The following is a 26,313-nucleotide window of genomic DNA, read 5'->3' as shown; positions in this document are numbered from 1 at the left end:
TAGCCTTATAGGTGACTCCTCTCCCACCAGACCAATCCCAAGAAGAGACAAGGAGGCAAGCTCAGATACAAAGCAGTATTTATACATTTATTTATATATGTATATTTACTTCAGAAGAAACGAACATTTCGGGGACAGGAAGCAAGCAGGCCCGGGGCTGCTTCCCTCACTGCCCACCTCAGAGTCAGAGTTGGCACATGACAAATACCAAGCTCAGGGAGAAGAACTGGGAGTTAACTGGGAAGTAGGGGGCGCTCTATGCACACGCAGGCTTCTAAGGGTGCACGGTATGGGCAGGAGGATTTGCACTGGGAGGCCCTATGTACAGCTTGAAGCTAGGGGGAGATTAGCCCAGTGACTACAGGAACAAACGCCAAAGGAGAGAGAAGAAGGGAGGGATGACCTGCTGGACCCCAGGGCAGGGACAGGGCCAAGACACTCACACCATTGCCAGCCGGGCAGCTGGCAGCTTCCAGCAGGTGGCCCACTTACCTTCCCTGAAGCCCTTTTACCACAGGCTTAAGGCAACTTTGGTCCAAGGTTGACCCCCTCAAGCAGCTTGGATCCCCAGCCTGTCCCCAACTCCTGCACTGAGGAACCCCTCCCCAGGCTTGGAAACAGAGCCAGCTGCTAACGGTTTTGGGGCTGTGCTGTGTCCAGATGGGCTCCATGGGGCAGTGGACGGTCACTTTCCAGTTAAGGACTGAGGGCCCGCAGTCCAAGAACATGAACCCCCATTGAGGAAGCCCAGGAATCCTATTACATGGAGTGGGGCTCGGCAGTTTTAAGGCATAGGGAGGATTCCCCCAGTGGGAGGGAGAACAAAGTCATCATAAGGAAGGCTCAGCCCCTGCATGGTTTGGGAATCGTAAAATTCCTATGTCAACGGAACCAAATTGGGGAGGGGGCTGGGAGCAAGCTATCCCTGCTATTCCTGCATCCCCCTGCTCTTCCCTATCCTGAGGACAAGTGCTTTGAGATCAATGGCAAAAGGGGGCCTGCAGTTCATAGGCTTCAAGGAAAGGCCTCCACTATAGAAAGGCCTCCCATTCAAAGCTGAGAATGAGTGGTGGGACAGGGGCAAGGCCTGCTTCCCAAAGAGGTGGCAGCATACCACAGGGCAAGGACAGCAATTCCCTTTCCCATTTCTGGACCCATGGCAGACATGGCTAAATGAATACTACACTCCTTCCATGAGCCTGGATGTAGCCTCGGAATGCACCAGGCACCACTAAGAAACTTGAAGGTGGCACTTAAGATACAACTTCTTCCCTAACCCAGGGTCTTGGTGGTTGGGAGTGGGATGGGTGTCGGAGGCTCCCTGGGAGGGATCAGAGTCAGAGCCCTGTCTTTGCAAGTGTCACACCCCTGCTCTGGCCCACTCTGAGCTTTCTAGCTCCATCCTTCCATTCCTTCCTGCCCTGGTTTAAGTGCATTTAGTAATTACTTCATTAATAACAGCAAAAGCTATTTGCATCTGCCCACCAGCCAAGACCAGGCTGCTGCTTGAGGGATTCCTGCTCCTCTGCTCAGAGAGAATGATGTGGTCACTGATCACTGTGAGCTCCAGACGCTCCCAGGAACGCAGGCAGTGAAGCTGCAATACCATCTGGGGGCTCAAAGGGAATTTCCTCTTCCTGGATATTCCTGGTTCAAGGCTCTAGGGCTTACCTGGCCCACTGGCCCCTACTGGTTCAGGCCTGTGAAGGGCTGAGGGTGGCTTCACCAGGCACTGAGTAGACTTAAGGCACAAAGTCAGTTTCTCCAACCCAGGCAGGGCTGGCCTCGGCTGCCCTGGGACTTCTTGGGAGCCAAGCCCTCCCAGGGAGAAGAAACCTCCTGGGCCACACTTAAAGCTTAGAAGTCCGAGTCTGGCGTAACAGGCAAACCCCAGAAAGTCCACTACCAAGCCATCCCCCAGGGAACAGCTTTAAGGGGGAGAGCCGTCTGCCCTCCATTGACTCATGGGGGTCCACCCAAGTCTCTTAGGGCTGGATCCGAGCCCCCTGCTGATCTCAAAGGTGGGCAGGTCCTCTCTCCAAAAGGGTTGGCTCCAGTCTCAAAAGGGGAGGCAAGGGAGAATGGGCTCTGAACAAATCAGGGCCACAGGCTTCCCCTTCCCTCCAGGGCACCTGAACCAGCCCTCCAACCACCATATCTGGAAAGAGGTAAACTGGTCCTGTCCTGGCCCCTAGGGGGTGGCAGGCAGGAAGGCCCAAGAAGTCTCTGGCTCTCAGGTTCCCTCTGTGCCGTGAGGGGCGACCAGCTGGAACAGCAACTCCAGTGTGAAGACTTCCAGTTTCACCAGTCTCGGGTAGGGCCAGTGAACAGCAGAGCTGGCCTGCAGCGGGCTCCAGTGTAACACCATTGCATCCAGTGTTGGGGGGTGCCTGGGCACCCCTGGTCCCTGGTGTGGTGCTGCCTCAGGAGGGCAGCTCAGTCACACAGGCGGTAGAAGTGGAAGTGGTAGTCTGTGGCTGGCTGGGCGAGAGCCTCTGAACTGCAGTTGGCCTGACCCTGGGTGGAAGGGCAGTGGGAAGGTGAGGTGGCTCTGGGGGTGCGGGGCAGATGGCACTCCCTGCTGACATTGCTTGACACTGTGCCCCCAGCCCTACCACATACTGTGCAAACCCCCCATTCCTCAAGCCCCACGTCGCAGACAGGGGTGCCCAGACCTCCAGGGTAGGTGGGATGCCCCTGCTCACCAGCAGTGCCACCCGGAAGTGGTAGGTGAATTCACGGAAGGACAGGATGGTTATTGGCCACCGGTGAGAGGTGCCCTGGAGAGAAGGGAGAGAGGGGTCAGGACAGACTGCTGCCCTTATCCCAACCAGCATCTCTCACCACGGCCGTCGCAGTCCTGGGGTCTGTGGGGAGTTTTATGAAGGAAAAAAGCAGAGAACTTTGAAGAGATAGGAAGGAGCATGTTCTGCTTTGGCAGAAGGAGCAATGGCAGCTACTCCATGCAGACCGTGCCCGGGACTGGCAGGTCCACAGCCACCTCCACCTGGCCCCTGCCTCCTTCCCAGTCCTGTTGTGCTGGGTTCCCTCACCCACTATGCTCTGGGCACATCAAAGTATTTCATTAGCCCCATCCTCAGTACAATCCAGTGACACAGTGCTGCTACTAGCCCCATCTTCTGGATGAGGAAACTGAGCCACTTCCTAAAAATCACACAGTGTGGCAAAATCACACAGCTGGGATTCAAACCCAGGTCTGTCTGGCTGTCTCCCTCACAGGGTGGCATGCAGCCTGGCTGCAGGCAGCTTGCCCATCTACCTGAGGCTTTGGCTGTGCGTCTGTGATGTGGTTTCAGGCCCGAGCACCATGTCTGCTGTGTGTCTAGCTGGGCTCTCCCTCTGTCTTGGACCCTGTCTCTTCTGCAGGGCGACAGGGCTCGGGCCTCCCTCAGAAGCACCCCCACCTCTGTTGCAGGTGCTTTCTGCACGTCTTTTCTCCCTCACTATAGAGTACGTTCTTGGAAGTCAAAACCTGTGTCTACTCCACCTCTCTCCCCTGCAGCTAGGCCCACCCAGCACAGGGCCTGGGACAGATGGGGCCCCAATCAATATTTTCTGAGTAAACACATGAATGGGCAAGAAAAAATAATCACTACTTCCCTTCATTTGTCCTGAGCGTCTTCTCCCATGGCCTCTTAGGCTCAAGAAGAAACTGGGGGTCCATCAGCCCCAGGGACAGTCATAACTTCCGGTTACCTGGCCAGGGAGGAGCTCACCATCCAGTTCTCCCAGAAGAGGTGGCCAAACATGGAACCTGAGGGGCCCTCTGATGCTGTACATCTAGCTGTGCCACTTCCCCAACCTGAGCATGAGGTCGGCTCCTTCCTGCTTCTGCAGACACCTCCAGTGAGCCACAGCCCTCCCCGCCATGGGCTCCCAGACACCTGCCTGTTTCCATCATTGCACTCATCCACATTAGCACCTGTGATCTGCTGTCTTCCCCACGTCTCCAGCACGGCAGGGCTGGGAGATGCTCAGCAGAGTGCAATGAACAAACACGGGCACGCGTGCCCCTCCCTGGGACACAGAGGCCCAGGCCCCAGAGTGTCCCTTGTGGAGAAGGCTTTACTCTATAACTCCCAGCTTCTGCTCCTTGCCCATTTTGGGGCCCAGTTGTGCCAGGAGAGAAGCAGCTCGGGCCTGGCCGGCCCGCAGCTTCCCAGTCCCACCTACCTGGGTGTCCTGGTGGGTGTGGAGACTCTGTGGAAGGCTCCCCTCCTCACATGGTTCCTCCTTTGACCTCAGGCTGCACAGCACCACAGACACGGGGGAGGAGGAGCTGTAGACAGGCCCAGTTAGCAGAGAAATGAGGTTCTAGAGTCCCTCAACCCCAGCCCCCTCCCAGCCAGCCTGCCACACGCCTCTGAATCTCCACCCAGCCTGAAACACCGCATAATAACCAGGGCCCTCGAACAAAACCTTTCCCATCGACCATCCCATGTGGTCCTCAGCCCATGAGGCCAGGTCATTTAGCCAGTTAACCACGAAGTAGGCAATGAAGTCAGCACTTATCCCACCATGCAGGAAATACCAGAGACTCTCCGGCTGTCCTCAGACTCGGCTGTTCTGAGGCTCTGCGGGAGATTCTCCCTGGCTCCCCTCCTGCCTCCCACTTCCCCACACCGGCACTCACTTCATCTGCAGAGTCAGGCTGAGGTGCAGTGGGGTGCCACTACTGACAGGGATGTGGTAGGTGAAGTTCCCAGGCCTGCAGGGGCAAAACTGGCACCTTAGCCTGAGGGTACCCTGCCACCCCCCACCCCCACCAGGGACTCCTCAGCCCCCAATCTGTACTGGAGCCCTCCAGAAGAGACAGTGTCCAAGGGTAGCCTGGAAAGGGGCTACCCTTCCTTATGGGGGAGGCTCCTCCCTGAAAGGGCAAGTTCCGGGTGATCTGTACCACCTGGGCTCATGTCACCTGAGGACCTCCCTGGGTGAGGGGAGGGAGCCCAGCCCACCTGCAGGCATCCCCTGGAGCACAGTACTGGGAGGTGATGGACATCGAATTCTCCAGCACCTGGATGGAGGTCAGGGAGGGCACTGGCTCTGCAAGGAGAGAGGCTGTTGGGGCAGGAGTAAGGTGACAAGGCAGGACACAAATGAGAAGCTGGCAAGTCTTTCCTTGCCAGACTTGAAGCAGTCACTCACACCTTAGTATGAATAAGTTCCAGGTTATTTTTTTCCAGACCTCCACAATGGCCAGCATCACACTACACCCTTTCCTCAGCAGCCCTAGGACTACCCAGTTCCCATGAGCCTGACGTCTGCCTCCTCAAAAGAACTGGAACACCCAGAAGTAGGGATGGGTCTTCACATCCCCTGCCAGGTGTGCAGGAGCCCGCTCGAGGCCTGTGTTCCTGACTGCGGGCATCTCTCCCAGTTCTGGGTTCAGAAACATCAGTTACACTGGTAGCTTGAAATCAGCAGTGTTGACAGCATCACACAAATCAGGCTCCCCTCTGCCCCGAGGCCGATGATTACACCGCTACCAGCACGCTGCTCCTCGCAGCCTCCCTGAACAAACCGACTGCAGGCTGGCTGGCTGGGTAGGGGTGGGACTGAAGTGTGACAAGTCAGATGGGGGAGACAGGACTTCTTGCTCATCTAGTTCACATACAGTCTTGCTGCTGCCTGACTATCCACCCAGGAAGGGGGAAGCTGGGGCCGCTGAACATTTGCTGGACCTGGTACGTTTTCAGCTCTGAGGCATGACCCAGGGACCCAAGGACCCCAACAGGATCCAGGACACCCTGTGTGGTCAGGACAGGTATCAGATACAGACGAGATGGAAGGTGCCCTTCCCACATCCCTTCTGGGCAAATTCCAAAGGTCCTTTAAAGAGTCAGCTCAAATGTCACCAACTCCAGAGAAGTTTTCCCTGATCCTCCCCACCTTCGTCCGGATTAAGTGTCCTCCCCAGTCCCAAAGCTACCTGCATGTCCCCTCAGAGCCTCATCACACTGCTGTGTTTTCATCTCTGTGAGGTCTTTGGGGACAGGGGCGTGTCCATCTTCATCACCCCCAGTCCCCTGTACAGAGCCAGCCACAGAGTGGCAGGCAGCTCAGTAAACAGGTGCCTGGCAAACATCTCCCCCATGGGGTTCCCCCATCACATTGAATTTCCATCTCTGTAAGCCACATTTTCCAGGCTTTCTTTTTCTTGAAGCCACAAAATCCATCAGATGAAAGTTGGTGAGAGCAGAGCTGCCTGGTTGAAGCCAGGAAGCCTCCCAGCCTCCCCTTCAACCCCCAGGGCAGCCCCCAGCGCAGCCCCCAGGGTACCTCAGAGGAACCCAGTTTGAAAACTACAATAAAAGGTTCTGTAGCTTTGTTAAAACCAAAGATCCAAGGTTTGGGAAATAGTAGGGGAGACCCAGTATAGCACCCTCCTGGTGCTGGCATGGCGAAGGAGGAGCCAGGCTCGGGATCAAATACAAGCCCTGCCTCGGAGGGGCTGTATAACCCTGGGCAGGTCACTTCACCTTAGTCTCCATCCCATTTCTTCAGCTGAACAATAGGAACAACAATTCCTTTCTTGCAGGAGTGCTGTGAGGACTAAATGGGATGATCTATGTAAGGCTGCAGGCCTGATTCCTGATCCTTATTCTGTGCTCAGCAAACGTCTATTGACTGACAAGTCTGAACCCAGACAGTCACATGACTGGGCTGAGGTGGGCCCTGGCCAGTGAGCCTTGCCAGGCTGGGCTGGGTAGTGTCAGGGGTGCAGCAAGTACCTGACTGGCCCTGGGCCCAGGTGGGCTCAGCAGGGCCCACGCTGGACTGGAGGGCCCCTCGGCGGGCCCGGCCATGGAAACCAAGGCTGGGACTGTTCTTGGCTTTGCCCTGCCCCCCAGGGAAGGGGACTGCAGGGCTGGCCAGAGGCTCCAGACTCTTGTGATGCTTGGAGTGGCCAATGCCATTGACTGAAAGACCCCAGGACTTGGCTCTGATGTTGGTGACTGGCAGAAGGGCCATCTGGCTGGGGCCTGTGGATAGAACCAGGCACAGGCTAAGAAGCTGGAAGCTGGCTGCTTCCTGTCCAGCTGTCTCTAGGGCCCCACAAGACTGAGTGAACCCCATGTGTCTCTTGGTCCTCTCAGGGGAACTTCCCAGTCATTGTCCAGAGCCTCGTTCTAGGCTCCAGGAGACCCTCCCACCAATGAGTATTTGGGCCTTTCTCTCTACGCAGGTAGCCCCCGCCCCAAGCCCCAGCCCACAGAAAGCCTTACCTGAGCGGTTGGTGCTGGGGCTGGGACTTGGGCTGAGAACATGGCCAGGGTTAAAGCTGGGGCCAAGACTAGGACCAGTGGTAGGGTTGGTAGTGGGTGAGGAACAGCAGATGACAGGGCAGGGGTGGCTGGAACACATGTCCAAGGTGCGGACAGCAGAACCTGGGGCCGAGCTGGTGAGGCTGGTGGTCACTGAGGAGGCCAGAGGCTGTATGAGCCAGAGAAGCCCCAAAGACAGAACATAGCAACCTCCCTGTCCTACCCAGACCTGCCCAGACACGCACCCAGCAGCAAAGAGGGCTGTATGCCTGGTAGCCCCGTGGTCAAGGGGGACTGTCGGAGCTGCGTGGTCCCAAAGCTCTGGCTGGACCTGCTGGGGAAGGATGGGCTGAGCTCAGAGGGGCTGGGAGAGCTTGAGGGGAGAGGGCCTGACAGTCCTGGAGAGGCAGGAGGGCAGGAAGAGGCAGAGAGGGAGGGGAGGGAGGCAGGAAGAGGGGCAGCAGGAGCCAGAGGAGAGGGGCGCTGGTCAGCACGTACCATGGGCACAAGGCCTCACTCCCCCCAGGGGGCTGGGGCCGGAGCAGGGCCAGGAGACAGGAAGTGGACACGGCAAAAGAGCTAAGGGGCAGCAAAAAGGCAAAGGGTGAGACAGGCAAAGGGGAAGAGAAGAGAAGACACAGTCAGAGGTGGCCCCAGGAGCTGGGGGTGACAGTGGGCTCACAGAGCCCAAGGCCCTGCCCTGGCCCTCCTTCCTCCTACCCCATGTTCCAACCCCAGCCCCTCAGACAGCCCTGACTCGCAGGCCCAGCTACCTGGAGGGGCACTAAACAGGCCAGACAGAAACATCAGCGTCAGCAGGGACTGGGAAAGGCTGCCCACCCTCCAAGGAGGCCCTCCCTGGATCCCCACAGCACCCCAGCAGGCTAAGAGGCTAAGGATGAACTCCTTTAGAGAAGACAGTCTCATGGCTCTCTGACCTGGGACTGCCCACCAAAGCCCCACCTGGCCTGGCAGCTTGGCTTGGCCTCCAGGAACCTACCCATCAGTGTCTACCAGGTCCTCCTCTGTGCGCAGGCTCAGCACGTACAGTGTGGACATGGACACCACGCTGGAGCCACAGAAAAGGGTGACCGTTAGAGCTGGAGCCACCATCCAGTGCCCTCTCTCTAGGACAAGGCTGTGGTCCTTGCTCCTGAGGCTGGGCTCCCAGGTGATGCCTACAAAATGGGTCACCCCAGAGGGGAAGAGGCAGAAAGGCCCACCTCACCGAGACCTCAGCTGCCTGATCTCCCAAGCTACATCCTCCTCTTCCCCCAGGCCTGAGCCCATGGGCAGCTGACTCCACTGGGCAGCTCCACTCCCCTAGTCAGCCACCATGAGAGCCCAGGGGACAAGTCACCTGAAGGCCATGACCACCACCAGGGCAATGATGGTTCCCTGCAGGAAGCGCTGGCTGATGCAGGCCTGGTCCGGAACCACGGACGATGACTGAGGACCAAGAGGAAAAGTGCAAATGCAAAGAGGGCCAGGCTGAGGCTGTCCCCAGTGGGCTCTGCTGGAGGTCGGAGGAGCGGTTAAGGGGGTGCCCCATTTCCCCGGGGGCAAAGGGAGAAGAAAGAGAAACGGGGCTGGGAGGGCTACAGAGTCACAAGGAGAGGGAAGCACCAGAGGCAGTGAGGCTGGAGAACTGCAAGCCAGAAAGGGAGGCCACAAGGGAGGCCCCCTTTCCAACCCGCCTGCCATCCCTGCTCACCCCTACCTTGCTGGCCACCTTGGGGGGCCTCTTCTTGTGGGGGACGCTGCCCGCCCGACTGAACTGGCTCCCTGCATGGCTGCAGCAAGAGGGCCAGGATCAGGGGTGTCCCTGGGAAGAAGGGTCTCACCTTCCCCCACCCCGCACCCCTACCTGAAGGCGCCCGAGCTGCCGGTGGACTTGAGGCTGTCGAGCCGCCGCAGCTTGGCCAGCTTGTGGCTCCAGCGCTCCAGCTCATCAATGCGCGTCTCCAGGTTGTCTGTCAGCTTGCACAGCTCCTTCACGGCCCCTACGTTCTCCATGAAGATGCGCTCCTGCCATGGGCCATGGGCCATGGGCCATGGGCCAACACAGAGGGCCCAGTCAGCCCCGGGAGCCCCAGGCTGCCAGACATCAGGGGGCAGGAGGGGCGGCCACTGTCCTTGGCCACTGGGAGGCCCTCAAAGTCTCCCTACCTGGGCGGGCCCCTCCAATCCAGCCTCGGCTCCCACAGCTCCTGTGCCTGTCTCCGAGCAACACCTCCACCTCTGCACCTTCACCTGGGCTGTCCCACCTGCCTGAATGGCCCTCCCCACTCCCTGCCAGAGCTCTCCTCTCCTAAGCCTGAAGGCTGCAGCCCCGGGATCTGCCCCTCGGATGACTGGTGTCTCAGATGTCAGCACTTCACTATTCAGCTGGGGTGGAGACCTATTACATGCCTCCTTGGCGCCCAGACTCAGGACAGGTAAGTGACAAACGTCGTCCTCACAATAAACCACGTATTTCAGCCTGGAGGTAACCATACGAGGATGTCTGTGCAGTTCTATTACCGCCCTCATTTTACCGGGGGTGGAAGGCCATGGCCCTCCACAGGGTTTCTCTTGCCCTTGATCACACAGGCTCCAGGGGCCAAATCCCTACCCACTCATCTCCTTGAACACTCACCCCTTCCCTGTGGGGTGCAGAGGGCGCTCTGGAGGCAGCATGAGAGCCGAGGGTGCTCCTGCCTCTGCTTTGCAGTGCCCCCAGTATCTATGGAGGTGATGAGTGTTCCCCAGCTGGCTCCCCACTTGCCTCTGGGCTCCCTCCCATTCCCCCACCCACAGACCTTGTTCACCACCAGGAAGTTCTCTATGGTTTTCCCATTGGCAAAGACCATGTCTCCGGTGTCTTTCACAGCCTCAGGCAAGATCTCCTTCACCTCCTGAGCGATGACACCTGGGGGCAGGGGACAAGCCAAAGATGGGTGGGGGGGTGGTAAAGGGCTACTCACAGCTTTGTAATGTACAGTGGGAGCAAGACTGGAGAGGGTGAAGTTCTGGAACCCAGAGATTTGGATTCCAAGGAGCCCTGGAGCAGGGAGATCCCACGAACCAGTGTTCACAGGATTGCAATTCCAGGGCTCAGGTGTGAGGTTCCTGGGCTGGGGTGGGGCGGATTCCTGGGGGTAAGGATCCCAGGGCAAGTGGGTAGTATTCTGGCAGGTTAAAGGTAGGATTCATCTAGCGCGAAGGGCGAGGGTCCCTGGGCCGTGATTCTCAGATTTCCACTGACAATGGGGCGAGGTTCCGGGGACCTGGAGAGGTGCGATTTTCCAAGGTCCGAGGGGCGGGACTTCTAGAAGGCATGATTCCCAGGGGCGCAGTTCCGGGAGTCAAGAGGAGTAGGATTTCCAGGTGACAGGGGGCAAGGTCACTGAGGCCCGAGGTTTCTGGGTTTCCGGACCCCAGTCCGCACCAGCCCGGTCCCTACCTGTCTCTGGCGCGGTGGCCTCGATGCCCGCGCTGGCGGCGAACTCGGGCTTGTATCTGTAGTGCACCAGCCGCATGCGCGAGATCCTCTTCAATTGCTCGGTGGTGTCCACCTGCGGGGAGCCAGGCCCGGGAATGAACCCCTCCTGCGGCCGTCCCGGAGCAGGCCCCGGAGCCCAGGAGGGCGGCAGCCTGGAGGCTGCAGTGTGGAGAGGAGACCCCACCACTGGAGTGGTTAGATCGGGATTCGAGGCCAGCCTCCCTCCCTTCCTTCCCCCGCAGCTCCGCCTTTCCGCGTAGTCACGCCCCCTCCCCAGGAGCCCCGCCCCCGCGGCCCGCTCCAGCGTCTGGACCCGCCCGGCCCCCACAGCCCTGTCCCCACCTCCTGCACGTGTTCCTTGGCGCGCAGGTCGGAGGGGTGCATAAGCGAGCCCATGACCTTGACATTCCCGTGCACAACCAGCGCCTCATCCGGCCGGTCTGTGTTGATGCCCACGCGGCCGTGGTGGAAGACGGTGTCGGGCACCTGTGCCCGCTGCCACAACACATCGCTGTCGCTCTCGAACTGGCCTGGGTTGGAGGCCTACCGCGAGTTGGGGCTGGATCAGTCCTGGGGGATAGGGAGGGGACCTGCAGGGCCCTGGGAGCAGGGGGAAACTCCACAGCAGCCCCTCCCCTTCCAGCCAGGGTTTCTCACTGCACCAAGCCCAACTTGAACTGTCCCTCCCACTGTGACAACTTTTTGTCACTTGTGGGATCCCAGAAGCTACCAGGCTTCGTCCACCTCCCTGCTTTACTGTGGAGACCCTGCAGCCCAGAGAGGGTGGGAGCTTTGCCCAAGGCCACACAGCCAGTGCCTAGCAGGATGAGCATGCCCACTCCTGACTCTCAGTACCCGGGTACTTCTGCTTGCTGTTTCTCCCAGTCCTGGGGAGGGCTGTCTACGCCCTGGGAGGAGGTGGCCCTCACCCGCACAATGATGCGCTCTGAGATCTGGGCGGCCAGCGTGTAGTTCTGGTTCTGTGCATGAGCCTGGAGGGCCACCACCAGCATGAAGTACCTGGGACACACAGGGGTCTCAGAAGTACTCATGGCCTGCCCCCGCCCCCAGGGCCACCCTTTCCCTGGCCAGATGCATGTTCATCTCACCCCCTCCTACAGAGGAGGAACCCGAGCCTCCACCAGGGGGCAGAAATTCCCCAGGGCCCACAGCAAGAAGCCAGGGCTGTTTCTCAACCCAGAAGCCAGGCTTCTGCTCTTCCCATCCTTAAGTCAATGAAGGGCTCTAAATCTCAGGTCTCTCATCTGTGAAATGGCTCAGCCTGTAGGACTCTGTGCCTGGTGTGCCACCCAGGGCAGTGTCTTCCTGCCTCAGAAATGGAGGGGCTCCGGGGCAGGGCCCCCACCTGCTCACCTCTGGTCCGGGTTGGGCTTGCCCTTCTTACGCATGTTGTTAGCGGTGGTCTCGCTGAAGTGCAGCCGCCCCACAGTCACCTTCGTGACCTGCTCAGGGGGCAGATTGACCCTGCAGAGGAGAGGCAGGGTGCTCAGGGGGCAGGGAGGGAGGCTGCAAGAGCCACGCCACTGAGGGGCACCCAGGCCAGCAACGTACATGAGGCGGACACCCTGGGTACCTCCCTGGCCCCTCCATTCCCAAGCCAGCTTTAGTTGTGGACCCTTCTAGGTACCACCCCCAACAGGGTCAGACACTCACGTGACCGGGTTGAAGGGCCGCTTGCTCCGGTCTGACTGGGACTGCTCGATGTTAATGGACTGGTTCAGGGCCTCCAGCTGTGGGGAGTGAAGCCAGTGGCACCTCAGGATGGGGCTACCCGGCTGGTCCTGCCCTCCTGCCCCCTCTCAGCCAGGCCTGGCCCAACTAGAGCTCACCAGGAAACAGGGCAGCACCCAGCCCTCAGCCGCGATTCCCACAAGCTCAGATGCCTTCTGCATGGTCACACCCCCCCACACCCTACTTCACACCCACACCCTCCTCACCCCTCACAGCATACCACTCCCCCAACTTCTGCACAGCTACGCATGCAGTCACTCCCCAAACACCCACACCCCCATTCCACACCCACACGCTCCCCCCACCTCTGCATGTATGCACTCACACACAGACACACACACACACTCACAGCCCCACCCTCCCTCATGTCCATACCCACACACCTCACAGCAGCCTCCAAGCCCATCCACTTGCACCTAGGCCCACTCACTCCCCAGATCCTCTCCATACCCACGTCTCCTCTACTCCTCCACGTGCACTGGCAGAGCCATGCCAAGGTACCATGCCTGGCTCACTCATCACACCGAAGCCGACAGACCCAGCCATGCCCACAGGGAGCTCATAGACTCAAAATCAGCCACTACTGGGGTTGTGCTGTGGTGCCTCCCAATGGGTCTTAGGGGAGGGGCCCCTGGGGAGGGGACCAGCATGGAGTCTGCCTGGAGAGGAGGGATGGGTGTTGGGAAGGGCATCCAAGGCAAAGGGAGCCACAGGGTGGAGGGCGGGGGCTGCGATGGTACCACAAGTGGCAGAGCTGGAGCGGAGGGCAGGGCCCCCAAGGCCCCCGTGGTGCAGCTTGGAAGCCGGGGCTTTGCTGGGAGGACACTGGGGGCCTTGGAAGGATAGGGAGTGCTGTGGCCCCCTGAGTCTCAAGTGGGGCAGGAGTTGGGGGTCCCAGCTGCTGTGGACATTCCGACAAGGAAGGGAGGTAACCCAGACCAGGGGATGGACAGGAAAGAGGCGAGGACCGGACCAGGTAGAGGGATCTTCCAGGGCAATAGCAAGGCCAGATGCATGATGAGGTTGGGGAAAGAGGGCCCTGACCCAGATTTGCGGCTCAGGTAACCAAGGCCCTGCGCCCCATTCCCTGAGAGGGGAGCCCAGGGTGGGAGGCAAGTGTGCAGGGAGTTTAGTTTGGGACCTGGAGCTGAGGCACCTGGTAGAGGGCCCAGGAGATGGGTCTTGACTGGGGTTGCAGACTTGGGAATCACAGGCTGGAGCAGGAAACGGGGCGAGAGGGAGGCAGGGAGGCAAGGAGGCACAGAGTCAGGGTAAGGTGCCCAACGAGAGGGAAGCAGGCTGAGGAGTCTAACGTTTAAGGGGCAGGCACAGGGCGAAAGGGAGGCAGGGAGGCAGGTTGATGAGCCCAACAAGAGGGAGGCAGGCGCAGGGCGAGGGGGAGGCAGGCTGAGGGGCAGGCACAGGGATAAAAGGCGGGAGGGCGGGGTGGCAGTAGCAGTGGGGGAGTTTACACACACATACACACACACACGCACACAGATGCTTGCTTTTTTTTTTTTCTTTTTTTTTTTTGAGATGAAGTCCCGCTCTGTTGCCAGGCTGGAGTGCAGTGGCGTGATCTCAGCCCCCTACAACCTCCGCCTCCCGGGTTCAAAGGATTTTCCTGCCTGCCTCAGCTTCCCAAGTAGCTGAGATTACAGGCCCGTACTACCACGCCTGGCTAATTTTTGTATTTTTAGTATAGATAGGGTTTCACCATGTTGGCCAGGCTGGTCTTGAACTCCTGACCTCAAGTGATCTGCCTGACTCCCAAAGTGCTGGGATTACAGGCGTGAGCCACAGCATCCAGCCAACGCTTGCTTTTTCTGGGGTCTTTCAGTGCCCCCAAAGGGCCCTCCTGCCCTCCCTTCCTTGCTGAGCCCCAAACTTGCCTTCACTCCGTGCAGCTTCAGATAGAAGCAGTCGAGGGGCTTGAGGCCCTCGGGCGTCTTGACGTACTTGGGCTCGCCCAGCATGCCGATGTACACTGTCACCTGGAAGTGGTTCTTCTTCTGGCACACAAAGGCGTCGTCGCCCACCGAAAAGTTGAAGCCCTTGTCCGCATCCACGCGGTAGGTGAGCATGGGCCTGGGGGGGCGGGTGAGGGCACTCCCCTGAGGCCCCAGAGCCGGGCCTGGAACATCGGTTCCTCCTACCTGCTGGGTTCCAAAACCATTTCCCACACCACACCCCTGCATCCTCAAACCACCAATGCGGCTGCCCCCACTCCTGAGAAATGGAAACTGAGTCCCGGAGAGGATTCTAGTACAGGGCTGCAAACTCCTCAGACAACATTCTCTCCTATACCCCATGCCTTAGGCCACCGCCCCGCCCTGGTGATGGGGGAAGCAGGGCCAGACCCTGAGGCCCACCAGACTGGAGGGAACTCCTGAGTGGGGGAGGGCTTGACTGCCCTCCCCACACTCGGCTCCTTCCCAGAAGGCTGCCTGAAGCCCCCTCACTCACCCGAGAGGGACTGTGTCTGCAGAGCCTCACAGCGCCTGACAGCTAGTTGCCCTGGAAACGGTGGAACCAGGCGCCTGCTCTGCTGCAGACCCAGCCCCTGCCCACCGGCTTGCTCAAGCCCCCAGATGCCCTCATTCCCACTCCCTCCTCATTCCTACTCCCTCCGTCTGCCCGGGGAGGGAAGGGGCACTCCTGGACTCTCCCTCAGACTCAGCCTCAGTTTGCCCATCTGTTGCTGGGTTTAGTGTCCCATGTTTGGCCCCTTTGAGACACCTCTAGTTGACAGTAAAAAGAGCAACTGGGCCAGGTGCGGTGGCTCACGCCTGTAATCCCAGCACTTTGGGAGGCCAAGGCAGGCAGATCATGAGGTCAAGAGTTTGAGACCAGCCTGGCCAACATGGTGAAACCCCGCCTCTACTAAAAATACAAAAATCAGCCGCCTGTAGTCCCAGCTACTTGGGAGGCTGAGGCAGGAGAATTGCTTGAACCCAGGAGGCGGAGGTTGCAGTGAGCAGAGATCATGCCATTGCACTCCAGCCTGGGCAACAGAGCAAGACCCTGTCTCAAAAAAAAAAAAAAAAAAAGAGCAACTGTTGGCCTGTGGCTTAGCGCACCCTCACTCAGGTCCCCAGGCACAAGAGTGGTCACAGGAGTGCCCAGTGCTGGCCTGGCGGAAGCTGGGCAGGGAGAATGCTTCCAAACTTGTGGGAAGAGGCCTCTGGGCCTGGCCAGTGTTGCCAAAGGCCTGGGCTCACCACCTCTTCCCTCCTGGAGCTCCACCCACCTGCCTGACCTAGCAAAGCACCCAGGAAGTGCCTGGGCCACTTCCGGGGCTGCAGCTGCCAAGCTTCCTGGCCTTGGGGCCTGGGGTGGCAAGGGTGGCCCAAAGAGTATGGCAGTAAGAGTAAGGGGTTTCCTCCCCATGCCAGAGAGGCTGGAGTGCCATACGACTGCACCCCCACCTGGCAGGACTTCATGGGACCCTTCAGCCACCCCAGCAGCCAGATGCCCCCAGGCCTGGGACTGCTGGCTAAGAATTCCCCCAAAGCCTGGAGCACCCAACTCCATGCAGCTGGTCTAATCCACTGGCCCAGGCCTGGCAATATCCACAGTTACCCTGTCACCTGCCCACTGGCCTTCTGGGTGAGCCAGGGGAGTGGTCCCCACAGGGCTCCCGGCCTGCGGCCTGGAAAGATGGAGCCATCTGGGTGTTGAGGGGGTGCTAGGAATGCTCAGGCAGCCTCTGACCGGATCCTCCCCAGCCCCTCCTCCCTCCCTCTAGGGAGGGGGCTGCCGGGAGGGCCCAGCTTGGGCTCAGCTTCCGGCTACCTTCCTGGAATGCAGAGGGAGGAGGTGGGGAAGGAGGAACCGGGGGAAAAAACACCCATCTGCCCACTTCTCCCTGACTTGGTTCCCAGCTGCCCCTCCCTGGCAGTCATCACCTTCTCAGGGAGGCCTGGGGCTGGCCTAGGAGTCAGGAGCCCTGACTGCCAGTCCTGGCTCTTCCCTGAGCCTGTTTGCTCTTCTGTGAAATGAGTGCTCCCAGGCCCTGCTCCAGGACCTTGATGGGGTCCTGGGCTGGGGCGTCCCAAGGTGGGGGGGCCTGGAGGAGTGGGGAGTGTTGTAGGGCACTCACAGCTCCTTGTAGTTAGCATCGTACAGGGTCGCCCACTTGTTCTGCTGATGAGGCTGCCACTTGATGGACTGGTAGTTGGGGTCCAGGTAGGAGCCACTGAGGCTGTCACTGTCCTGCAGGAGGCCTGGAGGGAGGGAACGCCCATGTGGGCCCTGCACCTTGGGTCCCACACCCCACCTTGAAGAGTTGGCCAGCCATGTACCTGGGGAGGGGGCACCTGGCGGGTGCCAAGGCGGTGTCTGGACACGGGCAATGCTGAGAGGCAAGGAACCAGGGCCCGGGGAGAGCGGACCCTGGGGAGGCCAGGGTGGCGATGGGGCTCGAGTGGGGTGCAGAGGCAGGGCTGTCACGGTCCCAGGCTCCTGTTTGATCATTCCATTCAGCATCTGGGCATTGAGGGTGCTGGGGGGGGATTCAGAGTGCTTCCTCTTCTTGGAGGGGTGTGTAGGGAGCCTGGGGAAACAGAAGTGTGCGCCGTGGGGGCTGGCTCTCCCCGAGCCCCTCCCACTGGGTAGTATCCACCTCTCTCCCCTCTCTAGCCTGTTTGGGCCAGGATGTGCCCCGCCCAGAGGACACCTCCTTCAGGAAGCCCTCAGGCTTTGCCTCCTCCTACTCCCCATTGCTCTGTGCTGTCATTTTCTGCTTCTGTCACTCTTCGCTTCCCCCAGACTGTGGACAGGAGCCACACCTGACTTGGTGTCTCCATCATGCCCAGCAACAGGGCTGGCTTACAGAATCACAGCAATCGCTTGAGGAATGAATGAGTTTGTCCCTGCCTGCAGTGTCACACTCAAGGTCACCCTTTATAGTGGGGGCTCTATGGAGAGCAGGCCCTGTGATCAGAAACAAGCCACAGAGGGCCTGGGCCACAAAAACCAGGGAAGGGGAGCTTCCGCACGGCACTCCTTCCCCTTCTGGTTTACAAAATGTTTTGACAGCAGAACCTTCCTTTGAACTAAACCTTTCATGGAATCTCCACATGTAAAACAGATGAAAAGACAATCGTGCAGGTTGAGTCAGAGTCGGGGGCTTGGGTCTAGGAAGAAGACTCCTCAGAAACCTGAGGGTTCCATGAGACAGCTGCAAAATCACTGGGGTCTGGGTAAGAGCACAGCCCCGGGCCCAGTCCTGGCTCTGCCCCTGGCTCATGATCTGGACGGGACATTTCCCCCATCAGAGCCTCAGTTTACCTACCTGTGCCCACCAGATAAGGTAGTTGTGAGCAATTAGCCATGGCTGTAAACCCCTCAAGGTATTGCTGGGTAAACATGTATAAATATGTTACCCCCATCTGCCCTGCAGAGCCTTCTGCCCTCCCTGGGTGCATCCCGGTCCCTACCTCCCTCTCTGGCCTGCCCGCCGCCCTGCCCACCCTGGTCCCTGTACCCCACCTTCCCACCCCATGGAGCCAGCCACCCACGTCTTACTCAGCTCCGTGCTGCTGCAGGAGCTGGTGCAGCATCTGGGACTGCTGGGTGTGGTGAAGATCAGTGGGCACCAGCCCCTGCCCCATGGCAGCGTAGTGGGGGATCGGGGGCTCGGCCTTCATGTACAGATCCCGCTGCAGGACAGGGTAGTGAGGTGGGGGTGGTGGGGGTGGCGGGGGGCCTGGCAAGTGGGCTGGAGGTGGGGGCGGATGCTCCAGGCGGGAGGGCACTCCCACGTGGCACAGTGTCTCAGGGGTTATCGTGCGCAGGAGGTGGGGCTCTGCAGGAGAGATGGGGGAGCGGGCATCTGAGACCAACCTCACTCAGGCTCCTGGGCACTGTCCTCCCCAAGGCAGAGTCTCCTGCTTCCACCCCGTCCTGAGCCAAGCCCGGGGGCTGCCCCCCACCTACCCTAGGTGGGAGGGCCGTTGGTCAGCCACCTACTAGAGGCCTGGGCAGGGAGGCACAAACCTGCCCAAGGAGGGGCAGCCTTTCACCTCATCCTAGCCACCTCCTGCCCCCAGGCTGGACCAGGAGAATCCAACCCAAATCTAAAGGTCCCCCTCCGTCCCCATCTCCTCTGAGGCCTGCTCCTCCTCTGGGCCTCAGGAAGGCGTCTCCGGAGACCCCCAGCCCAGGCCTGCCCAGTGTTCCCCTCTCCGGCAGGCAGTCCCTCTTCTGGGCTCTCAGGGGCCAGCCCCCCAGCCTGAGCGGGGAGGCCCCAGCTCCCTTTGTTCCCCAGGAGGCATTCCAGGGATGTTTTTGGTAAGATAAACAGAACTCTTGACCCCAATCCGGACTGCGGGGAGCCTGCTCCCGCGGTGGTTCTGCTCTTGGCCACCTGGGGGCCAGGGCACCCCTGAGCACCCTCTAAGGTGAGGTGGGCCCGGCCTGGGAAGCCTGCACCCAGGCTGCACCCACGGCCTTCCCCAGCCACCCACTTACCGCCGAAGGGTGCGTCCATGATGGCGCAGGCGGGCAGGCGGGTGGCATCACCGCGGGGATACTTGCTCAGAGGCAGGGCCAGGCTCCCCACCCGCCCGTGGGGAAACAATAGCCAAGCGCCAGGGAGTATTTGACCAGCGATAATCTCAGCCCGTTGGGCAGCCGCTGGCCCCCTCCCTCCTCCCCTACCTCCCTGATAAGGCCGCCCCAACTACTTGCCCAAACCCTGGAGCAGGAGGGCGGTGCCCGCTGGACTCACCATTCACCTGCTGGGGGGAGTAGGCCTCGGAGCCCGAGTCTGGGGGAGAGTCCGGCAGTGTGCTGCGAGAGCCAGGGGAAGGGGCCGGGGGGTGAGCAGCTGAGCTTCTGCCTTCCAGCTGGGCAGCTTCTCTGCGTGGTAGGGTCCCACAGCCCCCCAGAAGCTGGCGACACTGAGGTTTCGTCACATCCACCCTTAGGGGCATTTCTCCGCACCACCCACATTGGGGTGCCTGGCAGGGCCTGGGGCCGAATTGTGGGTAGGGGACCGCCCAGGATCCCCTCAGACCTACAGGGCACTTGGGGGGCAGTTACTAGTGTCCTTGATGATGGCACAGGGACTCAAAGACTCCCGCCCCAGACCGAAGGCCAGGACTTCTTCTCTCTTCCTGCACCCACTGAAGCCCCACAGCTTCCTGGAAACACAGGGCCCTAGGGGGCTGGGCCTCAGGGCATTCAGCAGGTCATGGGGGGCTGCCCCACCAGAGGCAGGTGTGGACTGGGAAGGGAGCCAGCACCACCGGGCCTGGGTTTATTTTTTTCTTGCAGGTTTCACTTTTATCAGTGTTCAGGAAAAAGAACAAACTCAACCCAAGAGGTCAACACGTCCTGCGTGAACCCTGTGCTCACCCAGCAAGTGGAAGGCTGTGGCCATATGGGATCCAGCTCTTTGGCCATCCCTGGTCCCCACATCTGGAGCAACTCCCCATTCCCATGCCCAGGGAACTGCCAGAGAGGCCATGGCCCTGTTGTGGACACAGCCCTGGGGCTGGCTCCAGAGTCCCCCTGCATCCCTGTGCCAGCCACCCACCCACCTTCGGGGCCTCATGTAGAAACCTATACAACGATTCAAGAACACAGACCCTGCAGGTTTTGTGTGAATGATACAAAAACGTGTATGGGGACTCAAACCCATACTCCTCGCCACAGCCTCAGGCCCCCTGGGCTGCCACTCCGTCCTGTACTTCCCTGACAATGGCCAGGCCTTCTGTAATGTGTTAAGGTCTTTCACACCCTGCAGTCCCTGCAGTCCCATGCCCCAAGTCCACAGCACCTTGTGTTCTCTCCTCTTAAGTTCCTCTGGCACCTGATTATTCCTCTACTTGGAGATGTACTGGTGAATACCTCTCCCCAGTTAGGCTTCAGGAGCCACTGCAGAGCCGTGTGTCTGTTTTTTTTCTTTTCTTTCTTTTTTTTTTTTTTTTGAGACAGAGTCTCGCTCTGTCACCCAGGCTGGAGTCCAGTGGCACAATCACCACTCACTGTAACCTCCACCTCCCAGGTTCAAACGATTCTTGTGCCTCAGCCTCCCAAGTAGCTGGGATTACAGGCATGCGCCACCACACCCAACTAATTTTTGTATTTTTAGTACAGACAGGGTTTCACCATATTGCCCAGGCCGGTCTCAAACTCCAGGCCTCAAGTGATCTGCCCACTTCAGCCTGCCAAAGTGCTGGGATTACAGGCATGAGCCACCGCACCTGGCCTTTTTTTTTTTTTTTTTTTTTTGAGACAGGGTCTTACTCTGTCCCTAGCAGTGGCATGATCACAGCTCACTGTAGCCTCGACCTCCCTGGCTCAAACTATTCTCTCACCTCAGCCTCTCGAGTAGCTGGGACTATAGGCACACGCCACCACACCCAGCTAATTTTTGTATTTTTTGTAGAGATGGGGTTTCATCATGTTGCAGACTGGTCTTGAACTCCTGGGCTCAAGCAATATGCCTACCTTGGCCTTCCAAAGTGCTGGGATTACAGGTGTGTGCCACCACACCCAGCCTCATGTCTGTCTTGTTTATCACCTAGACTCAGGTCTGGCCCTGGGTCCCTTCCTGGAGTGGCCCTGCCCACAGAGTCCCTGTGTGGCTCTGGACAAGCCCCTTTCCCTCTCTGAGCCTCAGTGTGCCATTAAAATCCTGACGGTAGCAGTGGCCAGGGCTCCTTGTGGGGTCTCCCAGGAGCTGGATACCCAGGAAGGCTGATGAGCTCACGCAATCATAGGCACATGATACAGCAGTGGGCACCAGCAGGCGCTTACCAAATGTTAGTTCTCCTCCCTCTGCCCCCAGGGGCCTGTAGTTTAGGAACAGCCTCACAGCCTCAAGCAAACAGTTTGCCTTCTGCAGCAAAGGTTCACCCCTGGCACCCCAAGCCTGGCCTCCACTCCCTTCTCCCCAAAAGCCAGGGAGCTCAGGAAGCACGGCCGGCCATGTGTCCATGGCCACCATGCACCCAGGGCATCCTCTGTGCCCTTGTTGCTTCCCACGATAATCTTGAGGGGTAAGCATTTGAGGGCTCACTTCACAGAAGAAACTGAGGCCATGGGTTACCGAGGCAGACGGCTGATAAATGGGGAAGCTGAAGTTGGAGCCAGGCTGTCTGAACACAGAGTTCATGCACCTAGTGTTTTAATGCTCTTCCACCCAGAGACAGGGGCCCCTACATTTGCCCTGAGCTCCCCTGCAGACCCATGCTCCCAGCCTCCCGCTGTGAGCATGTGCCCCGGGAGCTGCCCTGGAGTCTGGCTGGCCGGGTGGCTGCCTGGAACCTTTGGTCAAAGCCAGGCCTAAGGTTCAGCCCTGGGTCAGGCCCTTGGTGTGGACTCCTCAGAAAGATGGGGGGAAGGGCCTGGGTTCTGGGCCCCATGAGGCTTGCTTGGGTAGGGGGGAACTGAGGTGCCACATCTGAGCCATGGGCCAGCTCCTGTGGCCACAGTACACGTCAGCTGGATGCGTAAGTGGGTGGGCTTGGCGCGCGTGCACGGGTATGCAGGTGTTCCCATGAAGGTAAACAGTCACAGCCTCCAGTCCCGCCGCTTCCTGTCCACTCTCCACACAGCATCGAGATTTTTCTAGCACTTACGTCAGCCCTCATCACTCCCATGCTTAGAAGCTTTGTGGCTGCCCACTGCCTCAGAACAAAGCCCAGGAGTCCCCCCTTGACCTGGACTCATCCTCCCTTCCCTCACCTGCCCACGCACAGCCAGTCACCCAGCCCATCCCATGCCAGGCCAGTGTCTAGCACCTCCCAGGTCACGGCCACAGCCCTGCTCCCTGCCTGCCCCTATGCCGCTGTATCCCCCTACTCCCTGCCCTTACTCACCCTGGGGCATAGGGAGCCTTGGGCTCAGCCTTGATGGGGGGCCCGGTGCCCCCCGGGAAGGGCTTGGGGGCAGCGCCCATGCCGTTGTTGTTGTTGCAGTTCAGCGGGGTGCCGTAGCCCGGGGGTGGGAGGGGACCATGGCGCCCCGGGGAGGGTCCACCCCCAGGGGGGCTCAGGTGGTGGACCCCGCTGGAGCCAGGCATCGCAGGCTGCCCGTGGGAGTAGGAGGCCGAGCTGGCTGGAGCAGAGATGTCAGGGAAGCAGCTGCGGGGAAGGGGGGCGGCTCAGCTCCAGCCAGGACCCCAGCCCCAGCAGGGAAGTAGCCGCCCCCTCCCTGCAGGGAACTATGGAGATTTCGGAGGAGTCAGTGGCTGGGAAGGGACGAGGAGCAGCTTTCAGAGGTGGGACCACAGCAGACCCCAGGTCCGGCCCTCAGACCTCCCTGGTGACAGAAGGGAGGCGAAGGGCTGGGGCTGGGCGGGTGCAGGCCGGGCGAGGGGGCCACTCACAGGTCGGAGGCATCCTCCTTGCTGATGTACTCCTCCAGGATGCTGGTGTCTATGTTGGAGGGCTCCAGGGCACCGTTGATGTCGTGGCCTGCAGGGCAGGAGAGATGGGCTAGGGAAGAGGCCCAGCTCCCTGCAGACCCTGGGCTTCAGGGCCCAGCCCTCCATCCCTGCCCAGGCTGGCCCTCCAAAACAGATGCCCCTGCTCCTTCCCACCCAGGTATCCATGTGGGGGCCGGCTCTCACCCTCCACTGCCTGGCACCCCTCCAGGAAGCACTGATAATGCCCCCCCGCCCCACCACAAGGCCACCTTGAGTCTCAGAGGAGGAGAGGGGCCCAGGGCATGGATCTGGGTACAGAGAGGCCGATCCTGCCATGCCTCTTTCTAGCTGTGTGACAGGGAACAAGTCCTTTCCACTAATCTGTCAAATGGGGTCACTGTGCCTCTGTCTTATGGGGTGCTGTGAGGCACAAATGAGGTGCTTACTGAGTCGAGAGCCCCGTGGGTGCCCACTGCCCTCGATGGGATGGCTCGGACCCAACAGGCACTGTCCTGCCGTGTCCTCCAGGGGTCAGTCCAGATGGCCCAGCTCCAGGAACGCAGGAGCACGAGGCCTGGCTGAGTGGGACCATATATCCTGGGGGCCCACAGGGCTGTGGGAGTCTCCTGCACCCAGGCCCTGGCCGCAGGCGGGAGTGGGGATCAGAATCAGGAGAGCTCCCTGCACCCTCATTGGATATGCCCATCACCCTGTTGGGCACAGGCGGGGGAACTTAGCCCCCTTTTTCCAGAGGAGGCAGAAGCCTAGAGAAGGAAGGGCTTGCCCCGGCCTCCCAGCAGGGAATGATGGCCGCCAGAGCTCCACTCCTCTGCCTGCCGCCCTCTCCTGGGCCCTCTGCGCTGGCCCCGGCCCCACCAAGGGGAGGGGCCCCTAGAGGAAAGGCAGCCAGGGCTCTTGGGCATCATGAGGGAGGACGGGGGAGGTGCCGGCCTTTCCCCTCCCAGGGTCACCTTGCAGGGGGAGCCAGAGGGCGGGGTGATAAGGGGGCTGACGTGGGAGATGCGTCAACCCCGATAATGGAGGACAGCCCCACCCACACGGCTGACCCGGGCTGGCCAGCCCCACTGAGGCAGGAGGGCCCCTCCCACAGGCCTCTGGAGCCTGAGTCTGGGGTCTGCCCTCTCCTGTTGAGCTCAGACAGGTCCAGGAACAAATCCTGGCTCAGCCACTCCCTGCTGAGTGACCTTGGGCAGGTCACATGCACTCTCTGCGCCTCAGTCTCCTCATTCGTGCAATGGGGACATGTACAGCTATGGCTTCAAGGGGCTGTTTTGAGTATGAAACGAGATGAGGTGTGTGAAGTGCCAGCCACTTTAGTGGGTGCTCATCGGTCGGAACAGCCGTCCTCACTTCCCAGCCCCAGAGCCCTGGGGTCCCCGGGAGCCCCCCGCCCAGGCCCCTCCCTGGCCTCAGCCGGCATTTCAAGAATGCTGAGCCCCGCTTAGGTGATTAATGAGCGGCTAAGCCCTCCTAGGAGTCACGCGCTGCCTGCGACAGGCCAGGGCCCTCCTGCTGACCCCCACCCCCAGCTCGCCCAGCTAGGAACAAGGGACACCCACCACGCACCACCAATGGCCGTCCAGGGCGGTGTGGCCGGGGCAAGAGCAGCTTCTCGAGCTGGGCGTGGCCAGTCTGTGTGCCTGGGTTCCAGGACCCTGCCTCTGCTCAAGCCCCACCCTGCTGTAACCACGGGTCCCATTTACTGAGTGCCTACTGTGTGCCAGGCATTTTGTGAATCAAATACATTAATAATCACAGGAGTTTCTTTACTTTATTTCTTTTTTTTTTGAGACTGAGTCTTGCTCGGTCTCCCAGGCTGGAGTGCAGTGGTGCAATCTTGGTTCACTGCAACCTCCACCTCCCAGGTTCCAGCGATTCTCCCACCTCAGCCTCCCGAGTAGCTGAGATTACAGGCGCCCGCCACCACACACGGCTAATTTTTTGTATTTTTAGTAGAGACAGAGTTTCACCATGTTGGCCAGGCTGGTCTTGAACTCCTGACCTCAGGTGATCTGCCCGCCTCAGCCTCCCAAAGTGCTGGGATTACAGGCGTGAGCCACCACGCCCAGCCTAATCACAGAAGTTTCTTATGCGCAAGGCATCCTGCAGGCTCTTCACCTGCGGTGTGTTACTCAATCCTCCCAGCCCAGAATGCTGACCATGACAGAGACAGTGACTTGACAGTGGCTCATAGTGAGTATCTCCCAGTGCTTCTCAACTCATCATGGCGATGATGACAAAGACAGTGGTGGTGACAGTGACTGCAGCTCACACTGACTGCCTACCAGGCCAGGGACGATTCTAAGTGCTTTATGCATTTTCCCTCTCTAAACAGTGGGGATGTTCAGATAGGTAACATAATCACCATCCCCTGTTCAGAGAGGTCAAGTCTCTTACCCAAGGCAACATGGCAAGGAGGATTCCAACCAGGTGCAGGGGTCTGACTCCACGAGGGAGAGTGTGACTGGCGGTTGCTGTGCCTTCCCCACCCCACCTGGAGCGTCGCCCCCACCCTGGCCGCTGAAGCTGCAAGTTTTTGAGCCTGAACTTGGAATCTACGGTGAATGATGGGCTGATGCAGTCATGGTGTTGCTATTTATAACAGACCCAGCCCCCTCCTCTCCTGGCCAGGAGCACTCCTAATCGCCCCTAATCCTCCTGCCCACCTCCCTCGGGATAGGGGGCCTCAGGCAGAGGCATCCTGGGAGACCCTAACGAGAACCAGATGTGCTTTGGGGGAGGAGGGACCCTCCCGTGCCAGGGTCCGGGCGGACGGAGGATGGAGGAAGGAGGCGGGAGGAGGGAACTGATGGGGCAGCGTTGCGGGGAGGCCAGTGGGTGGGGAAGAAGTTTGAGGGTTGGGGGCTCGGAGGGCCTCCTGAGGAACGCTGACCCCACACCTTCTCCTGGAAGCCCTGGAGGCCGCGTCGTCTCTTTCCCACGCCGCTCGGCCCCCAGCCCGCCCGTGAACCACACTGGAGATTTCTAACAGACTTTCCAGGTGGACAAGACAAGGGTGGGGGCTTGCCGAAGCTGGGATAGAGCCCCCAAGAACCCAGGACAGGGGCAGGGTCCCATGGGCACACTCTCGGGAGCGCCCCTCCCCACTGCTCCCAAAAGAGCCCCAGAACATCACTGGAGCCCAAGCAGGGGTACCTGCCAGGCAGGAAGCGGAACATGGGCCATATGGCTCGTTCTGATCCTCAAGACCTCTCTGAGAGAAGGGAAGCCGGGCCCGCCAGAGGCTGCCCGAGGCTGCCCAGGGCCCAATAACCCGAAAACAGCACCATGAGCTCACAAACCAGCATCTCTGTCCTTCCCTTCTCAAACCCTTCAACAACTTCCCACTGCTGGGGAGACACCCGGAGCCCTCTGGCAGTCCAAGG

General features: G+C 59.8%; 1 protein-coding gene across 24 annotated transcripts in view, besides 7 other annotated features; it reads right to left on the bottom strand.

The window, feature by feature from the left end:
- MYRF (myelin regulatory factor) overlaps window positions 62-26,313 on the bottom strand; it is a 35,883-nt gene continuing 9,631 nt past the window's right edge. For 3 of the 24 annotated variants that reach the window (XM_005274227.2, XM_047427535.1, NM_013279.4), the window contains exons 2-26: window positions 22,868-22,955; window positions 22,359-22,622; window positions 19,259-19,320; window positions 18,055-18,334; window positions 16,830-17,080; window positions 16,628-16,751; window positions 14,418-14,613; window positions 12,448-12,524; window positions 12,148-12,258; window positions 11,703-11,793; window positions 11,116-11,316; window positions 10,735-10,846; window positions 10,091-10,200; window positions 9,157-9,317; window positions 9,010-9,082; window positions 8,650-8,738; window positions 8,290-8,358; window positions 7,535-7,623; window positions 7,251-7,442; window positions 6,756-7,007; window positions 4,980-5,067; window positions 4,655-4,729; window positions 4,195-4,300; window positions 2,706-2,780; window positions 62-2,517 (exon numbers count right to left, since the gene is read on the bottom strand). In XM_005274227.2, the coding sequence (XP_005274284.1) occupies window positions 2,437-2,517; window positions 2,706-2,780; window positions 4,195-4,300; window positions 4,655-4,729; window positions 4,980-5,067; window positions 6,756-7,007; window positions 7,251-7,442; window positions 7,535-7,623; window positions 8,290-8,358; window positions 8,650-8,738; window positions 9,010-9,082; window positions 9,157-9,317; window positions 10,091-10,200; window positions 10,735-10,846; window positions 11,116-11,316; window positions 11,703-11,793; window positions 12,148-12,258; window positions 12,448-12,524; window positions 14,418-14,613; window positions 16,628-16,751; window positions 16,830-17,080; window positions 18,055-18,334; window positions 19,259-19,320; window positions 22,359-22,622; window positions 22,868-22,955 (3,317 nt within the window). In that variant the 3' untranslated portion in view covers window positions 62-2,436. Of the gene's footprint in view, window positions 2,518-2,705; window positions 2,781-4,194; window positions 4,301-4,654; window positions 4,730-4,979; window positions 5,083-6,755; window positions 7,008-7,250; window positions 7,443-7,534; window positions 7,624-7,787; window positions 7,869-8,289; window positions 8,359-8,649; window positions 8,739-9,009; window positions 9,083-9,156; window positions 9,318-10,090; window positions 10,201-10,734; window positions 10,847-11,115; window positions 11,317-11,702; window positions 11,794-12,147; window positions 12,259-12,447; window positions 12,525-14,417; window positions 14,614-16,627; window positions 16,752-16,829; window positions 17,081-18,054; window positions 18,335-18,999; window positions 19,321-22,358; window positions 22,623-22,867; window positions 22,956-26,313 lie in introns of those variants that run through there. The other 21 variants (XM_005274224.2, XM_047427530.1, XM_005274222.2 and 18 more) reach the window with 20 other exon arrangements.
- Window positions 2,005-2,749: an enhancer, noted in NCBI's record as "H3K4me1 hESC enhancer chr11:61553303-61554047 (GRCh37/hg19 assembly coordinates)". NCBI's record gives its function as "activates a minimal SCP1, AML or CMV promoter by ChIP-STARR-seq in naive H9 embryonic stem cells {active_cell/tissue: H9 hESC(naive)}" and the evidence as "EXISTENCE:reporter gene assay evidence [ECO:0000049][PMID:30033119]".
- Window positions 2,750-3,494: an enhancer, noted in NCBI's record as "H3K4me1 hESC enhancer chr11:61552558-61553302 (GRCh37/hg19 assembly coordinates)". NCBI's record gives its function as "activates a minimal SCP1, AML or CMV promoter by ChIP-STARR-seq in naive H9 embryonic stem cells {active_cell/tissue: H9 hESC(naive)}" and the evidence as "EXISTENCE:reporter gene assay evidence [ECO:0000049][PMID:30033119]".
- Window positions 7,227-7,895: an enhancer, noted in NCBI's record as "H3K4me1 hESC enhancer chr11:61548157-61548825 (GRCh37/hg19 assembly coordinates)". NCBI's record gives its function as "activates a minimal SCP1, AML or CMV promoter by ChIP-STARR-seq in primed H9 embryonic stem cells {active_cell/tissue: H9 hESC(primed)}" and the evidence as "EXISTENCE:reporter gene assay evidence [ECO:0000049][PMID:30033119]".
- Window positions 8,566-9,234: an enhancer, noted in NCBI's record as "H3K4me1 hESC enhancer chr11:61546818-61547486 (GRCh37/hg19 assembly coordinates)". NCBI's record gives its function as "activates a minimal SCP1, AML or CMV promoter by ChIP-STARR-seq in naive H9 embryonic stem cells {active_cell/tissue: H9 hESC(naive)}" and the evidence as "EXISTENCE:reporter gene assay evidence [ECO:0000049][PMID:30033119]".
- Window positions 15,916-16,035: an enhancer, noted in NCBI's record as "active region_4800". NCBI's record gives its function as "activates an Ori minimal core promoter by ATAC-STARR-seq in GM12878 lymphoblastoid cells {active_cell/tissue: GM12878}" and the evidence as "EXISTENCE:reporter gene assay evidence [ECO:0000049][PMID:35858748]".
- Window positions 19,326-19,901: an enhancer, noted in NCBI's record as "H3K27ac-H3K4me1 hESC enhancer chr11:61536151-61536726 (GRCh37/hg19 assembly coordinates)". NCBI's record gives its function as "activates a minimal SCP1, AML or CMV promoter by ChIP-STARR-seq in naive H9 embryonic stem cells {active_cell/tissue: H9 hESC(naive)}" and the evidence as "EXISTENCE:reporter gene assay evidence [ECO:0000049][PMID:30033119]".
- Window positions 19,902-20,478: an enhancer, noted in NCBI's record as "H3K4me1 hESC enhancer chr11:61535574-61536150 (GRCh37/hg19 assembly coordinates)". NCBI's record gives its function as "activates a minimal SCP1, AML or CMV promoter by ChIP-STARR-seq in naive H9 embryonic stem cells {active_cell/tissue: H9 hESC(naive)}" and the evidence as "EXISTENCE:reporter gene assay evidence [ECO:0000049][PMID:30033119]".

The sequence above is a fragment of the Homo sapiens genome, chromosome 11 (assembly GCF_000001405.40).
Source record: "Homo sapiens chromosome 11, GRCh38.p14 Primary Assembly".
Classification (NCBI taxonomy): Eukaryota; Metazoa; Chordata; class Mammalia; order Primates; family Hominidae; genus Homo; species Homo sapiens.
This window is presented reverse-complemented; position numbering and strand designations above follow the sequence as displayed.